Consider the following 18,406-nt stretch of genomic DNA (forward strand, 5'->3'; position numbering starts at 1 on the left):
TGGAAACTGAATTTTTCTGTAAATCATAATCGTTACTCAATAATTGCTTTGATTTCTAAGACACTATATTTGCATCTGTCTTATAGATATATTATTGTTCAAATTATTCAACAGAAAATCGAGAAACAAAACTAATCTATCTATTTGAGAAGAATATTTGATGTAATGAGAGCAATTTTCCAAATAGTTGCATTGGGGAAAAGAAAAATTAAATAATATACTCATGGCATCATGGAAGACATGGGAAAAAATGGATGCTACTCAAATTTTACATTTATAAGTGTATTCATCTGCTTCTTTAAACACAGTCTTTGACATTTAATTTATAACATATTTAACATTTTATAAAGGATTTGTTCCAATATATTTAACCTCTCTTTAGCTGAAAATTAATCTCCAAATTATACTTATTAAACACTTTATCCCATATCCTGTGATTTTCAGAATCTTCAGCTTATGAAACCATATAATTTAAAAAGTAATCTTATTAAATGTGTGAATTGCATTAGTTCTCATTGATCTGAAGGGCTGTATTTTTGTGAAATTAACTACTTTGTTCTGTTATGATGACTACTGGGTTTTTCAATGAAGTTTGTATATTTCAGGTATGAAAGCAGGATTCCAGCAAGTAACTTATTAGATTTATCAGTTTACTCTTGCTTCCAGAGTATTTCCCCAGAGGTATGGCAGCAGTAACTCTATTAAAGACACCAGGTCCCATTTACTTTCATGTCACACTTTTCTCTCTTGATTTTCTCAGAACTAGACTTGTTGGTTTTCACTGAGCCTCAGACATAAATAAAAACAATATACCTATTCACCAATCTTGCTGTTAAATTTTATTTTAGAGAAAAACGATGTAGACTATGATATGTTCAAATTTAGCAATTCTTATTTGTAAATTATCTCTGATATACTGGCATTATTAACTTGATTTCTGTCCTATAACAAGTTTTAATACATAGTTACATAAGCATTTATTTTTAAGGGATATAATTTCAGACATTAGCTGACTGCATTTAGTTTTTACCTTTTTGCACTATTTTTTCTTCCAATTATTTTGGAAATTGCTACTGCAGCCAACAATAGCTACAATATATGTTTTGAAATAATATTTTTACTATTTCAACCACCAAAAGTATCTCATTTATTATCTAGGTGTAGCAGCCCTCATTGCTTCTAGCTTGCTTACAAATCCAACCACTAAAACCTATTCTTTGTTTTTTTTAAAAAATTACTATAATTAGAGTCTTGCTTCCTTATTATACTTAGCTATAGATTTTTTCATCTATATTTTTTCTGTTTAATTATTCTTCTCTCACTTCTAAAATATGCTTTGTAAAAACATCACCAGTGACGTCCTTATTACTAAATTCAGTGAACAAATTTAGTCATTCTCTGCCTTGACCTTTATGAAATATTTACCACTGTTAATCAAGGAGGTAGCAATCTACCAACCAGTGATAGAGGCAGGAGGCAAAGGCCTAGGCAGATAGGGGCGGTTCCTGGTGAAATCCAACCTTCAAGCTGGAAACAGTCCTGGGTAAAACCTCGAACAAGATTGAGAACCTGTCTTCCCATTTGGCACACTTTCCTCTGATTGATCCCCATCCTTTACCTAGTTTATATATACCTACCCTAGCCTAATTGGTTTTCTACACTATCTTCTACACCTTAGAGTGGTGTCTTCACTTTAAACTTTTTTGCATACTCACAAACCAATCATCACACACTCTGTATTCTGAGCCCATGAAACACGGCGGGGTTAGCCATATTGGGAACTCTCCGACCTTCGGGTAGGGATACCACACCCATGTCTCCTTTCTGCTAACAGCTGCTTCATCACTCAATAAAACTTCCTACCTGGCTCACTCTTCAAGTGTCCATGTGCCTACTTCTTCCTGGTCATAAGAAAACAGCCCAGACCTAGCTGAGCTAAGGAGCAATCCTGCATCACCAGGATGCCCAGAAAACACCCTTGTAGAAGACTGTGGTTTGAGAGGGTCCACTAAGGCCCTTAAATATAATTGAAGGTTCAAACTCTTCTATTTTCCATCTTTGCTTAGCATCAATTTTGCTGCAATAGAATGGGGTCACCCAACAATAAACTCTATCTTTTAACATGCTAGTTCATGTTATAGGAGCTTCTCTAAACGTTGTGAATTCTGTCTGCTAGCAAAAACAACATAAGAGTGATTTCTGATTTCAAAAAATGGCCAAATCTGTTATTGGCAAAGTTTCTGGTAATACAGCTGTGAGCTCCAGGCTTCATGTGAATTATTTAGCACCTGGGATCCTTTTGTGTTTTGTGAAAGATAAACTGAATAGAATGTCTTTGTACCCATGTGGAGAGTAGCAAAACACTAAGGAAAATAATTAAAATAGAGCAAGTCCTATGAATGTTTTTTGGAAGACAATACGAAGAGTAATATAAATGTTAATTTTCTACTTGCATTTGGGATTTCCATTTTCCACTTTTTTTTTCAAATACTTATTTTCTGTAATTTTTACAAGATGATTCAACAGGCTACATAGACCGTGTATTAATACATATTAGATATTGTATCTTATGATATAGAGATAGTACAGTATACATTTCTTTTTTATTTTTCTTTCTGGAACTTTATAAGGTAGGTTGGTCAAAAAATACAAAGTATTGTGCTTACAGATGGTTCCAGAGCAAATTCAGTAGTTTATCATAACACTCATTGATTAAATATGCATAATATTCTATTCCCCAGAATTATCTTTAACTGACATGGAGTAAAAACTATTTAGAGTTTTTGTGAGTTTTCCTTCATGTCAAAACTTAGTAAATTAAAAGGGATTCAGAGAAGTTCTTCAGAAATGAGTAGTCAATAGAAAATGGGTCGTTTTTGTATTTGTTTTTATTAGTAAAAATTAATAGAGTACATGTGAAATTTTGTCACATGTATATAATGCACATGTGTATAATGCACACTGATCAAGTCAAGGTATTTAGAGTGTTCATAAATTTAATGTTTGATAGTAGAATAGGGTGACTATAGTTAACAAATTGTATTGTACCTGCATATAATGCATTTTTGTGAACTATAGTCACTCTACTCTACTATCAAACATTAAATTTATTATTTCTATCTGACTGTGTATTTGTACCCTTTAACCAACTTCTCTTCATCTCCTCTTCTCGAAAATTCCTAATGTAAGATAAATCTCTTACATTAGGATCTCTTACATTATTAATCAAGGATAGTCTAAGATAAAAAATGAAAGAAAGGTAATTTAAAGGTTATATCAAAGAGTCATATGGTGAGATTGAATTGAGAGGGAATAAAGAAAAAGGGAGATTCATGTTAAGATATTTGTTGAATGTATATATGTATTGTGGATGGTTTTCTATTACATGTAAATTCTTCCAAGAATCCTCATGGTCTATCTTACACAAATTTTTATCAATACTATTTTTCCTCATTTACTTCCCATTATCTGAAACTATATTATTTATTCATCAATATCTCCCCATTCTAAAGCACACTCCAAGACATTAAGAACTTTGACTCTTCTATTTTTGTGTCTCCAGCACCCATAGCAATTTGTGGTACATAGAACATAATCGATACTTCTTGAATGACTGAATAAACTGAAGTATTCACAGACTTGGATAGAACTTGCAAGTTCTCAGTGGTCTTGGGAGTTGCAGAATAATTCAAGTTACCTCTTGGCTTTTAAGATATATACGAATAAACACAGAGAACAAAGAAAATTAGCTTTTCAAAGCGAAAATGGAAGGTTAATTGTGCCTGTCCAAGAAGATCAAGAGAATACCACAGAGAACAACTTTCCTAAAAGGGTCCTTTGCCATAAAAACCAGGAATAATTTCAAAACAACCTGAGTGGATACATCTCAAGCACAGAAGAAAAAGAGCCACAAAGTCCAGCTTAAAGGGATGTCAATTGCTGACCCAATGACCCTAAAGTTTTAGCATTTCTTAAGTATTCTCTGGCTTCTACACAACTTTGTTTATGCATGTTCTGAATATTCATACCTTAGTTTATAGATGTCAAAGTTGACCGTACGCTTGGCTAAATTGTAGAGTAAGAGGGGTTAGTGGGAAGGCTGAGAAAACAAGGCTACAGATGCAAGAAATTTCCAAATGCTAAGCATTTTAATAGTTGTCTCAGTCCATTCAGGTTGCCATAACACAATGCTTTAGACTGAGTGGCTTGCAAACAACAGAAAATGACTTGTCATAGTTCTAGAGGCTGGGAAGATAGCTGATGCTACAAAAGGATATCACTAATTTGGAGTTGCTAAGAGACATGCACCTTTTTTTCCAGATGATGCACACATGCCCTCCACATCACTGAATTCAATGATCTTATATTATATGTGAAATGCTTTATAAGAAGACAGATTATGATTAAAGAAATATATTGTAAATTCTAGAGCAACCACAGCACAACTATAATAACCGCCATAATTACAATAATAATAAATAATAATTACAATAATAACAAATTACAATTGCTGACACACCAATAGTGGAAATAAAATGGAGTCCAAACCATGGCAGGAAGGCTTAATTAATCTAAACAGAGGCAGGGAAGAAACAAAAGATAGATGGGAAAAATTAAAATAGCTAAATAAGTAGAGATAGGAACAAGCAAGTTAGACGTGATTATCAAAAATCTAGTGGGTACATATAAACCTGGGTTAATGGAGGAATATGATATATTTCCTCCAAAAGGAAAGCTGTGAAGTTTATGAACAAATACCACTCTTTGTTATCAGCTTATTTCAGAATTTTAGCTACTGTCTTTGGATGCAAATCTTGAAAACAAAAAGGGATGATGAAGGATGATAGAAAGGTAAGAAGGACTCTGATATTCAGTAAATTTCTGAGTTTTATCTCCAACACAAAACAATAAAAAACCCATTGAAAGAATGAAGTATGAACAAGTAAATTAACAAATTTTAGCCAAATTCACACTGCAAAGATTTTTATCTTTCTGTTTGGAAAATTAACTTGGCAATGTGTGAGTCAATCTCATCTCCCAAAAATGTTTTCAATAGTCCATGAAGTTTTGATCATCTGGTTTAAAATTCTGAATATAAACTATGTAAAACCCACATTTTAGTAGGCACAAAAAAAAAACCGAAACATTTTGCAAATATCTGGTGTTCATATTCACTTGATGTTTTACTTGTTTGAACATTCACCATCCTCTTCGTCTTCATCATCATCATTGTATCTGACATTTATATAGTGCTAACAATGTGTCAGGTATATATAGAAACTGCATTTTTTCAAGTTGACTATACCAGTGAGAAGAAATTGTGCATTTTTAACATTAAATTTTTCTCATGAGAATTTCAATAGTTAGATACTATTATTATACATACATTACAAATGAAGAGATTGAGGAACAGCAAGGTTAAGAAAATTATTGAATAAATGATGGAGCTTGACCTGAATCCAATCAATCTGGCTCCAAGGACTATGCTTCAACTACTCTCCTATGCTCTGTATACATAGATCACACTGTATGGACTAATCTCTAATCTATAATTTGTCATTTATTTGATTTTAGAAAGTCCTACTTCTCTCTGACCTGTTGCTAACTTCCCCAAAATAGCTCCTGGATGTATTCAAATATTTGCCATTATGCGTATCTTTAAACAAGCCCATTATGCATCAAGAGGTCTGCTCATTTATTAGCTTCACACTTTGATGATATCAAAAGTCAACGCCTCCAGAAGCATCCAGCTGCACCCTGCTATTAATTTACTGAAAAAGGACAAAGGCACTTTGCAAGACAAATAAATTTTAAGGTTATATGTATCATAATCAACAATGCTTCTGAATCTAAGGATTTCCCCTGGAGAGTTATTTACATATATCTTGGCCCTGGTGCCAATGCAATGATAAGCAGTTTGGAAATTTAAGAAAGGAAATGGAAAATTACTAGTTGTTGGTGAGGGTTAAAATAAATTTGAGATTTTAATTTGAAGAGTTTCATATATATCTTACAAATTTATGGTGTAAGCAGTTAAGGAACAACATATATTCAATGGTGTAAATATAATACAATGTTTTTAACACAGAAACCATGAATAACTTATTTCTAACATTTTTTATTAAAGCAGATAGGAGAGAGAAGTTTCATTTCATAGATCATTTCCCTGTATTTTACTGAACTTAAAATTGAATTACAGCAGTTCACTTTGTTCCAGACTCACCTTGAACACCATTCAAAGCTTTGCAAGTTAAGCAAGTTAAGTGTGAGGACATGTTCATATGATTTGGGGAACAGCCAGTCATTCACACTGTTCACTGTCATTCAACTTGGTTAGTTCACAATAATTTTCATCGTTGACACTAAGGAATGATAGACAGAACTAAAGGCTGGGCCTGCGGAGGAAACAGGCTTTTATGTCACCAGGTTCTAAAGTGGATTCTCAGAAATGCGCTGAGTTATTTGTTTGTATCACCACTGTTACTTTTGTCTGAGAAGGAGGTAGGTACAAAGCCAGAGTCTTCAGAATAATCAGGCACGAAGTGGGGAGGATACAAAACTCTCACAATCAGAGGAGGAGAGCTTTTCCTCTCTAGTGGATCCTCACTGAGGGTGGCTGAGTCTATCCACATCTGACAGTTCCAACAGTTCCAATAAGGAACTAGGGAAATCTGAGGAGTATGTGTTTCACTATTACTTGGTTTATGTAATATTCTCACTAAATTTGCATAACATTTTCTACTAAAGATAACGTGTCTGCTGGTTTTGTTTGTATTGCTTCATTGTCCCACTGTAAAAATACGCATTGTGAAAAACATTTAATTGTTACTGTAAGACAGCATACATGCTATGTTCTGTTATCGGAAATCAGAATTCAGTATGTGTTAGTTCTTTTCTATATGTGGCAAATGTACATGTTAACTGGAACTGTGTTAGACAGAATATTTACTCCAGAAAATTAAGAAATCCTGTCCATGTTTTCCAGATATGAATATTGGTGGCAGAAAGAAACCTGTAAATTAAATGGCACCGAGAGACTTTAAAGTTTAATGCTCTAAAATTAAGATTGGATGCATGTGACTTGTTAAGTATTTGTATGAAATTACTGTTTTGAAATGAAAGTAAATTAGACTGTTATTAACATTTAAAAATAACAGATGGATCATCATTTTTTAAACGGCATGTTAAATTATAAAACTATACTTTAATGTTCTTTAATGCTCATCAACATATTTACTTAGTTAATGTGAAATATATATCACTAAAGACGTTTTAACTATTCTGAGATGACGGAATGACTTTATAAGTTAAAAGAGAAAATATAGCTACATTTAATTGCTTATTTAATTGTTGCTAAATTTAAAAAATCATACCATATGAAAAACAGTGTGAAAATGTCAACTTAAAGGCAAAAGCTGAGGCAAAATTAATATAGAGACTTTATTTGGGCCAAGATTAAGGACAACAACCTGGGACACTTTCAGCAGCCTGGAGTCCAGGTTGCCTTGAGCAGGGCTCTGGAGTACAAAGGAGAGGCTCAAGTTTGTAAAGAACAAAGAATGAATCAGGAGAGGGGGTGATTACAAAATTGCTAATCAGGAATTCTCACTGGTTTACAGAAGTAATATTGATTAGTGATTGTCTATACATTGCTGAACCATAGGCGTACGGCATTTTATGGCTACTTAGCATTAGTCTAGATCCCACATAGGAAGAGGCTTCAAGAGGTAATTGTTTATCTCAAGGGGGAGTGAGATATGACTGCTTTCACATTCGTAACACCTCTCTGATAATTTAAAGAGGTTTTCATTCCTCAGATAAAGGTTTGGGTCTTTTTTTTTCCTTTTTCGATATGATAACTAAAAGCACAGAAATTGAGATTGGACTCTTGTCACAAGCTAGTGGCTGTCTTAGCCCCTTTGTGCCAGTGTAACAAAGTACAACAGGATGGGTAATTTATAAACAACAGAAATTTGTTTCTCACAGTTCTGGAGGCTGGGAAGTCCAATGTCCAACCACCGACAGGTTCAGTGTCTGGTGAGGGCCCTGTCTCTCTGCTTCCAAGATAGCATTTTGTTCATGTGTCCTCCAGAGGGGACAAACAAACATTGTATCTTCATGTGGTAGAAGAGACAGAAAAGGCAAAAGGCCAAATGCTCTATGAAGCCTTTATCATGAAGGACTTAACTCATTCAAAGGAGAGAAGTTCTAACGACCCAATCACCTCTTAAAGTTCCTCTCTTGAAACTATTGCATTGGAGATTAAGTTTAAATACATGAAATTTTGGGGACACATTCAGACTACAGCAGTGAATTTGTTAACTTTAGCAAATGGCTTAAAATACTTGCGGTTCAATTTTTGCATCAACAAAATGGGCTTATTAACATATATTAAAACAGTGTTAATAAAGATTGAGTCATTATATGGAAGATAATTAACACAGTACCTAAAATATATTGTGTAATAACATAATTTATTAATATCATTATTATTATAAAAATATCAAACATATTTACATACTGTTTTATGTTAAAGTAATTATTCTTAATGTTAATCTATTATGTTACTATTAGCTCTATTTTCTTTACATAATTTCCTGAAATTCAATGGTATATGAAGAGTTTTAAAAATTACCTAAATACAAGAATGAAAGTTTCAGAAACATCATAAAAATAACAGGCAATACATAATTTTTCTAATTATGTGAAAGCACAGTTATACAAGCACACTGAGTTACAAAAAATTTTAAAGTATTGCATTTTATTATTCTAAAAATAAACTAACCCAAATAGTATTCATTTTGAGCCTAACAAGTCCATTCTTTCCAGTAATCATTCATATTTATTATTTCCCAACACTTTAAAAGATATAGGCTTATGGCTGGTGCTGCATATTTGTTTCCCAAAGCCATAAAACTTAGATGAGGTCACTTTCAATTTTCATAAAATATGCCATCTAGACATTGGTTTGTATAAATATTATATTTTCCCAGAAGTTTGACAATTCTCTTTTTTAAAAAAATCAAAATAGCTTTCTTTTTGTAATAAATATAATTTCCATTATTTTAGAAACTGAAACAATAGAAAATTAAAATAAAATTATAATTAGTCAATATATCAACCCACCACCCAGAATGCTTGCTGTCATCTTGGTGGAAGTATTTTCTTTGGTCCTTTTTAGGTGAAGGGGGAAGATTCTGGAGTCAGATTGCTTGGGTTAAAAACCTGGGTCCTCCATTTATTAATGTGTGAATTTGGACAAGTTATCTATAAGCCTTAGTCTCATCATCTGTAAAATGGGCATAATCTTTTCAGAAGCCTCATAAGGTTGATGTGAGAACAAGCAAAATAATTTACATAAAAGTGCTTGGCGCATTTCTTGGCATGGAATTAATGCTCAATAAATGTTTTCTATTATTTTTTATTACTATTGTCAACAACCTCAATAGAATTAGACTTTTCTTTCTCTGCTTTATATCATATTGCAGGCATAGTTCCCTAATAGTGACACTTTTTCAAATTTATATTAATTGATGCATACAATTTCCTTCTAAACAGACCAGCTCTGCTTTCTGTGAGGAAACCTTGCAATTCCTGCTGCCCTAAACCTCTCCTCTCTCCAGAAGGCCACAGAATGGCCTCATATGGTCCCTGTAAAATTCCCACCTTTGGTCAGTTTTATAGATTAGGCCAGCCTCTTTGATCATTTCAGATCCTTTTGAATTCAGGCTAAACCTCTGTTCATGTGCCCATTTTCCTCTTTTCCTCATGAATCTTCAGGCTCAGTGATATTTGTTTAAAGTAACTCAATATTTACTTTATTTCTTTCAGCCTGAAAGAGACTGAAACATATTCCAAATGAGGATATACTAATTGCCTTTCATCTTTTTGTTATTGTCAGACAGTATATTGGGAAATTTTCCATTTTTCTTTAATATAATTGGTCTGTCATGAACATGGTCAATGAGGTCTATTTCAAAGGAGATTCCTAGATGTGAAATAAATAGAAAGCCCTTGCTATACAGTAAAATTGATTTCTAAAAATCTAATGTAACAATGTTTACTCACACAAAAACAACCTATCAGAAAATCTCAGTGTTTCCTCAAAGATAACGAATATTACCTTTTTAAATACGCCATTGTAATGGGAAGCATGACATCTCATTTCGTCTGATTTTAGCTTATTTTTCTCTTCATTATTTATACATTGTTTACACACATAAGTTTTTTCTTTATTCTAATAACACAGAATACTAATATTATTAAATAATTTGAATTTTATTTTCACTTAGCAAATTTGATTTGTTTTCCAAGCCAATAACTATACTTTCATTAGGTTATTTTAGCAAAAAAATAGTATTTCATTTTAATTTTATTCCATAAGTTTTATAAAAAATTGTTATGATCCCTATTAAGGATTTAAGGTTTTTTCAACTTGTGGCTATTTAAACATCATCATCAGGGTCATTCTTGATGCGAATTTTTTTTTTGCCAAAATGAACTGTAAGAAAAAATGTAAAATATAATAAAAAAGTAAAAAAGATATGTAAGTTTATAAAGAAACACTGAATTACCCTTAGGAAAAAATGCCCCAACAAATGATGAGTTCATGTCCTTTGTAGGGACATGGATGAAGCTGGAAACCATCATTCTCAGCAAACTATCGCAAGGACAAAAAACCAAACACTGCATGTTCTCACTCATAGGTGGGAATTGAACAATGAGAACACTTGGGAACATCACACACCGGGGCCTGTTGTGGGGTGGGGGCTGGGGGAGGGATAGCATTAGGAGATACACCTAATGTAAATGACGGGTTAATGGGTGCAGCACACCAACATGGCACATGTATACATATGTAACAAACCTGCACGTGTGCACATGTACCCTAGAACTTAAAGTATAATTAAAAAAATAAAACAAAATGCCTCAACATACTCTCTCAATGTTCTCTGGACAATCAGTTTTTATCTCGACAATCACAGTGGCATATGATTTCCATTTTATTTTTGAAATATGTTAAATGCTGGTTGAATTGAATATTTCTGCATTTAGTGGCATGAAACTCTAAAAAACATATAGGGACAATTAAAATTTTTTCAGTTGACTTTCTATTCCTGTGTTTTGCTGGGTTTTGCTGTTGTTATCCTTCCAGAATCCCACCTTTGTTAGAATAATGAACTTTTAATTTTTAAATTATTTGTGTGTGTTTTTTTTTATTTTTATGTTTTCTACTTTTTAGAGAGAAAGTCTTGCTCTGTCTCCCAGGCTGGAGCGGAGTGTAGTGGTGCAATCACAGCTCACTGCAGCCTCAAACTCCTGGCCTCTAGTGTGTCCTCATGTGTGTTCTTTAGATGTTACAAACATTAATGTTTCTTCTATCATTTTTGTTACATATATTCACAGCTTATAATTTGCCTTTCAACGATGTCTTATCTTTGGTATAAAGTTAAAAAACAGGTAGTCTGGACGCGGTGGCTCACGTCTATAATTCCAGCACTTTGGGAGGCCGAGGTGGGAGGTCACCTGAGGTCAGGTGTTTGTGACCAGGCTGGCCAACATGGTGAAACCTCGTCTCTATTAAAAATACAAAACTAAACTAGCCGGGTATGGCAGCAGGCACCTGTAATCCCAACTACTCAGGAGGCTGAGGCAAGAGAATTGCTTAAACCTGGGAGGCGGAGGTTGTAGTGAGCTGAGATCGCACCACTGCATTCCAGCCTGGGTGACAAGAGCAAAATTCTGTCTCTAAAAAAAAAAAAGGTAGTCAAATCACGTTTTATATATGTATATTTATTTATTTAAACTTGAGTTACTTCCTGCATAGAGATTACGTTATTTGTTAAATATTAGCCCAGATATTTTTCTATTAAAAGCTTATTGACTTGATGTAATTTAACACTACTAGTGAAAAATTATGTTGCCATCACTTACTCCCAATATGATATGTGGAGAAGGGCACTCCATCCACTATTGTGATATTCTTCCCGGAAGACCAAACATTTGGTATAACCACGAGGAAACATCAAACTCAAATTAAAGGACATTCTACAAAATACCTAAGCATTTTTCTTCAAAACTGTTCATGTCATAAGAAACTATTAATAGGAAAGACTGTCATAGATCATAGGAGATCAAGAAGATATAACGACTGAATAAGACATGGCATTGTGAATAGGATCTCAAAACAGAAAAGGGAAATTTGTGAAAAGCTGGAGAAATTAAAGTATAAGCTATAATTTACCTAAGAGTACTGTATCAATTTTAATTTCTCAGTTTTCATGAATGTGCCTTTATTAGGTAAGATCCTATTGTTAGGAAAAGCTAGGTGAAGAGTATACAAGAACTCTTTGTAGTGCATTTGCATATTTTCTGTAAATCTATAATTATTAGAAAATTATTTAAAAATTATGATCATATATTTATACCATGACATATCTTAACTTTGCTTTGTTTTATTTTATTTTATGTATTTTTTTGAGATGGAGTTTCGCTCTTGTTGCCCAGGCTGGAGTGCAATGGCATGATGTCAGCTCACTGCAACCTCTGCCTCCCAGGTTCAAGTGATTCTCCTGCCTCAGCCTCCTGTGTAGCTGGGATTACCAGTGCCCACTACCAGGTCTGGCTAATTTTTTTGTATTTTTAGAAGAGACTGGATTTCACCACGTTGCCAGGCTGGTCTCAAACTCCTGACCTCACGTGATCTGCCAGCCTCTGCCTCCCAAAGTGCTGGGATTACAGGCGCAAGCCACCACACCCTGCCTGTTTTATTTTAATGTAAATATAATAGATAACTTTTTTTTTTTAAGGCTAAGATCCACAATGGCAGGTATATTCCTATAGGCTTCTGTGAGAAGATTTTTAAAAGTTTTATTTACATTTTTATCAAATATTCTAATTTATTTCAGCAAGAGTTTTTTTTTTTTTACTTGTCAGAATTACATCTCTATCTTTTTCCTAATTACACTTTCTGTCTCTTGTGTTTTAGATTCCATGCTACCTTTCATCTTCTTGAGTTCTTCCTTATAAGTTTTCCTCTCTGACCAAAGTCAGTTTCAGAAGTATGATGACATGCACATTCAGTTTAATTCTTATTCTTAAGGTGTCATACTTGCTTCATTTAACTTTGATTTCACTATGTGTTGTTTGTTTATTCATCTTTGAATTGTAAGCATGACAAGACTCAAGCTGTAACATTCTCTCCTGTGTCATATATGAGGATAGAGCAATGCTATTTCCCCCTATGTGAATTTGGAGCTCCGAATATTTAACTTTCTATAGTGATGGGCTATTCTTCTGATGTCGAGCCCTTTTTTCTCACTGGAGGCTTTCTTGACTAATACCTTGAATTTCACATACGTCTTTTGCGCCTGGCCATTTTGACCCTCTCCTTGTGCTAGAACTAATCTGTATGTATTTCTTCTGCATATGGAAAAAGATTAATTTCCACAAGAAAGTAAATGTCTTATGAGAGACTCCTTTATATTGTAGGTTCCAAGTTATAGGCGATCCAGAATGAGATTACTTTATGGGAGAGACAGATGTAAATTGAGCTTTGGGTGACTGAAAGTAATTTTCTTTCAATTTCATGGGTATTACTCTATTTTTTCGTCAATACTACCAAGAAGTCTAGAATTTAAGGATAGATAATGTGGGTAAATCAAAGTAGCCTTAACTTTAAAAAATGTGTATTTTATTAAGTTCCATTGAAGTTGCTTTAGTGCAGAGTACATAACAAATGAAATGTAATACAAGAATGTACTTTCTAGTCTTTTCAGCTAATATTGGATTACATTAAATCCCTTACTTTTTTCAATACTCAGTTGCTAGATCTTGGCATTGTGTCCTCTCTCATGCATAATTTAAAGACATAGGCCACATCTAACTTTTGTTGTTATCTTTACAACCTTTTAAAAAATTAGCAGATTTTTTAGGCACTGATAGTTGGATATCCAAAGTTACAAATTACTTTTCTTATTTTGGTAGAATTTGCTTTCATAGTTTATTTGCTCATTTTAATAGATGATATTAGCTATTTTTATTTATAATGCAATACAAATAGTTTATAGTATATCATATTTTTAAAACTCAAATGGAATTGTGATACAAATAAATTTTAGCAAATATTTGCTAGCCAAAAATAGTAATTAAAATAGAGTGACATTTAAAAAAAAAACTTGAGAGAAATTGCACTTTCATAAATTTTCGATGAGATTATATTTTACTTAATTTTCCCTCTAATATGTTAACATTTTATTTAAGTAATTCAAAGAATATAATAAGAATTCATTGTCAGAGGCAACTGGCTATTAAAGGTTATTAGGAAAAATATATATATTTCATAATAAAACCCTACTGTAATTAGGGAATAACCTGTTCCATAAATGATGATAATTTGATTAGTGAAAACTGAATTTAACTTGGAGAATTTGATGAACTATAAAGAGCAGAGATAAACTTACAAACCACTTCCCAACTCCTTAGCAGCCTCAAAATTTATTAAAATGTAAACATGTATGATGGTATGATATATACACAATATTTTGTTTTAAAAATAGTTAATGCTCTTAGAATTTCTTTCCTTTACAGTATGTTTGTTTTTCCCCAATATTCACAATAACTATTTTCTTAAAAACATTAAGATTATTGTTGATTTTCATCTTAGACCCACACATAAGCATGATTAACATTTTGTGAAATATGTACCTTTGTATCCTATTACAGATAAATTAAAGTTAAAGATAGCCCTGTTATAGCCTTATACAGACCAAGGTAACAGAACTTGACAGTTTCAGGTTAATCACTGCAAGAAAAATATCCCTGCTAGAAAATAGAGAAGTTTTATATTATTCTTTGTGTTTATTGTTTGATTTTACACTAAACCTAATTTGTTTTATTATAAATAGTTTCATCTTTTTACATATTTTGAACGCTGGAAACCCTTTTATATAATGATCATGTTGTAAAGGTTTTAATGTGTAAGCACATTCATTTTCACAGGAGTTGTTGCTAAGTATAGTAAGTGTCTAGATGGGCATTTTAGACTTCAATGGCGCTTTAAAAGGAGATATGCTGAATATACTTGTAAAGAAAAATACAGGTATAAACACTATCATATGAGTTCAACAAATGTAAAGAACAGTATTCCTACCCCATAATGTTTTTCATTAAGACAAGCATATTACAATATAAATATACTGCTGCACTTTTGGAAAAGCCTTCCTACCCCACTTGAAATATATTATAAATAGAGACAATTTGACTTCTACCTCTTATGATATAGCATGTTATACTGTCTATACGGGACAGACACATGACTCATTGTCTCAATCATAAGCCCCCATGATAACTATCTTTGTTTTTAATTGATCCATTAATATTAATGATAATGACAATAACTGTCATCAACAACTAACATTTTTATAATTCTAAATCTAAAATATGATTTTGGATGCAAACAAGATAGAATTAAGAAAATTAATTATTAATTAAGAAAATTAAGAATTAAGAAAATTAGCAACAACAGGTTACAATCATAAACTAAGAAAAAAACAAGACCTAATACAACAGCAGGACCTAATAAAACAGCATAAAAAGAGAGAATGAGGAAAGGACCTGTATAAATAATGCCAAAGAAACAGATGACTGACAGTCTGTTCTTTAGGTCAACTTCCTCTGCTGGTTTATTGCCAAAATTCAGTCAATTTCCTCCCAATAAATGTTACCACTGACCAATTCTTCACCTTGTTTCTTTATTCTTGAATGTTCCATTTCCCACCAGCACAAAATACTCAAGACTTGAGCTCAGTTTTATTTTTCCAGTTACCTTTGAATTACTACCACAAGATACTAGTAAAACTAGCTGGTCTACACTCCTACTAAGATTTATCATTTGCTTCTGCTGTTCTTCTTTCCCTTATTAGAGGCCAATGCGAACCTACATTAATTAAACAGAGGAAAGAGGAAAAGAAAGAAAGAAAGAGAGAGGAGTTTTATGAGCCCCCCCTCTCCTGCCCCATGGCAACTAGAAATCTATTTCACTACCAGTTTTAAATGTCAGAAGATTTTTCCTGGATCTTGACAATACAACATGTTTTTTTGTTATCGCTATATTATATCATATCACTTCTTCACCTATGCCCAAGTTCTCTCTTTATAATTATTATTGATTTTATTATTGACTCTCTTGGAGTTCCACATACAAGTGAAGTTCTTTGGAGTCAAGAGTATTCTTCTATACACATAGACTATGAAATGGCTTTGTTTCCAATATGTGTTTCCAGTAAAAAGCAAGATTAAGTACACTCTTATTTATTGTGCTCTCCCCGTGCTGAAAATCCAAGTCCACCTTAGGTGTTCTTTTGCCAGAATAGCATGGTTCTTAAACAACCTTCTATCTTCAGAAAATTGGTAAAAGGAGACACTTATATTTTGCAGTATCACAATATTTTTTAAAAGTACACGGACAACAGAATTTTATTTAAGAGCTGTCTAGTATTTTCTCGTCATAAAGTACTATATTTCAGTATTTTAAGTCTTAAGGAAGACAAAGTACTAATATGTGTAGTAAATAAAGGTATTCATAAAGGAGAAAATACAGAATAGAAAACTACTTTGGCTACCTCAAATTTGTATCTTACAAGACACAAGCAAAAAATCACTTACTGAGTCTTTTTAATGAAGAGTATAGACTAAAAGAACAATAATAAAAAAGTCAGGCCAAATCTGAAATACATTTTCTAAGTCATCAATTCACAATAAGATGCTTTCAATATTCCTACAGAAAATGCATGTTTGTGTGCACTGCATGAGACTGAATAGTGGCTTCCTAAAGATGTTTCTGTTACAATCCCAGGAACCTGTGAATACATTACCTTGCATGGTAAAAGGGAATTTGCAGATTTTATTGTGTTAAGGATCTTGAGATGATGAGATTTTCCTGAATTATCCAGGTGAGTGTGATGTAATCACAATTACAAAGGTCCTTATAAGAGGGAAACTAGAGGTTGAGACGGCAGGTTGGGAGGAGGCCGGACAAAGTTTCAATAGAACCAGAGGTTGGTGTGAGGCACTGTGAGTCAAGGAATTCAAGCAGTCCCTAGAAGCTGGAAAAGGCAAGGAAATGGATTACTCCACAAGCCTCCAAGAGTAACTCAATCCAACCAACACTTTGATTTTTAAACTCCAACCTCCAGAACTCTAATTTTTTTCCTAAGAGAATTAATGTGTGCTGTTTTAAGCCACAAAGTTTGTGGCATTTTGTTACAGCAGCAATAGGAAAGTAATACAAGGACAAAGATCATGCATAGCTTCTTCCTTATCCTTTTCACAGCAGCAAGAACCAGACTCTGCTATATGGTGGGAAGTCAAAGCATATTTTCTAAGTGAATATATTTCTAATAAAAATTGCTAATTAATTAAATCATAATTACAAGGCATTGGGGTATAAAGTAAGATATGGGCAAAGTTCTGTTTCTCAGAACTCTGACAGCAGGAATCAGGCTATAAAAGCTTTAATCTTATTTCTTACCACTATTTTAGAGATCCCCAAATTCAGTTGTTTTCATAAGATAGACACTTATTTCTCACTCCTAAAGTTCAAGAAGAGGGAAAACAGCCCAAAGTGATAGGGAACTCTGCTCCAGAGACATCCAGGTTCAAATTTCTGCCTTCCTTATTCCAGCGTTGCCTTGTGAAACACTTGAGCTATACAGTAGCTTGTTTATTTACATATCTTAACAATTGATACAGACTGTTTTCTGAGAACTTAGCAAGGGCTGTTGAATGGAGCAGCTATACATGGTGGCTCCATGTGGTCTGCACTTCCTCACGGTATAGTGGCTAGGTTCCAAAGGTGAACATCCTGACTCAGAAAGAAAGCCAAATTGAAGAGAATTATGTTTTACGAGTTGCCTTAGAGTTTATATTCCATCACTTCTACCATACTCTACCAGTCGGTTTAGTTACAAGTCTCAATTCAGTTTAATAAAGAGAGAGCTTGGAATCCAGGAAATATTTGGAGGATTGCCAATAAAATTGCAAGAAGAGCATGAGAAATGAGACATTATCATGTGACAATACGTGAAAAATACAGTCCAGCAGATCCGACAAAAGAGGGAAAAGATAGAGCAAAGGGCAAGCAGCGTTCCTTTGAAAAGATGCGATGTGAGGTTGTTTGCCTCATTTCTGTGCACATCTCTTTGGCTGAAGTGTAGTGAAATCTCTAAACCTAGTTGACACAGACCAGAAAAAACCCTGGAGGAAGGCTAGTTATTATTAATAGAAAGACAGACAGCAGTATCTTTTATAATCTGCACACCCTTCTTCCTCAAGTTAGAACATGTCTACCCACTTCCCAAGAAAGACAAGCCATAGTTACACTCAGGCATGGTATACAGTTCAGATG

At 33.3% G+C, this 18,406-nt stretch overlaps 1 protein-coding gene and 1 long non-coding RNA gene across 2 annotated transcripts in view; both read right to left on the reverse strand.

Annotated features, from left to right (window-relative positions):
• Positions 1 to 18,406, reverse strand: part of C1QTNF3-AMACR (C1QTNF3-AMACR readthrough (NMD candidate)) — a 137,543-nt gene that overhangs the window by 105,088 nt on the left and 14,049 nt on the right. The gene's annotated exons all lie outside the window — the stretch shown is intronic.
• C1QTNF3 (C1q and TNF related 3) overlaps positions 1 to 18,406 on the reverse strand; it is a 226,867-nt gene that overhangs the window by 74,216 nt on the left and 134,245 nt on the right. The gene's annotated exons all lie outside the window — the stretch shown is intronic.

Source organism: Homo sapiens, chromosome 5 (genome assembly GCF_000001405.40).
Source record: "Homo sapiens chromosome 5, GRCh38.p14 Primary Assembly".
Taxonomy (NCBI): Eukaryota; Metazoa; Chordata; class Mammalia; order Primates; family Hominidae; genus Homo; species Homo sapiens.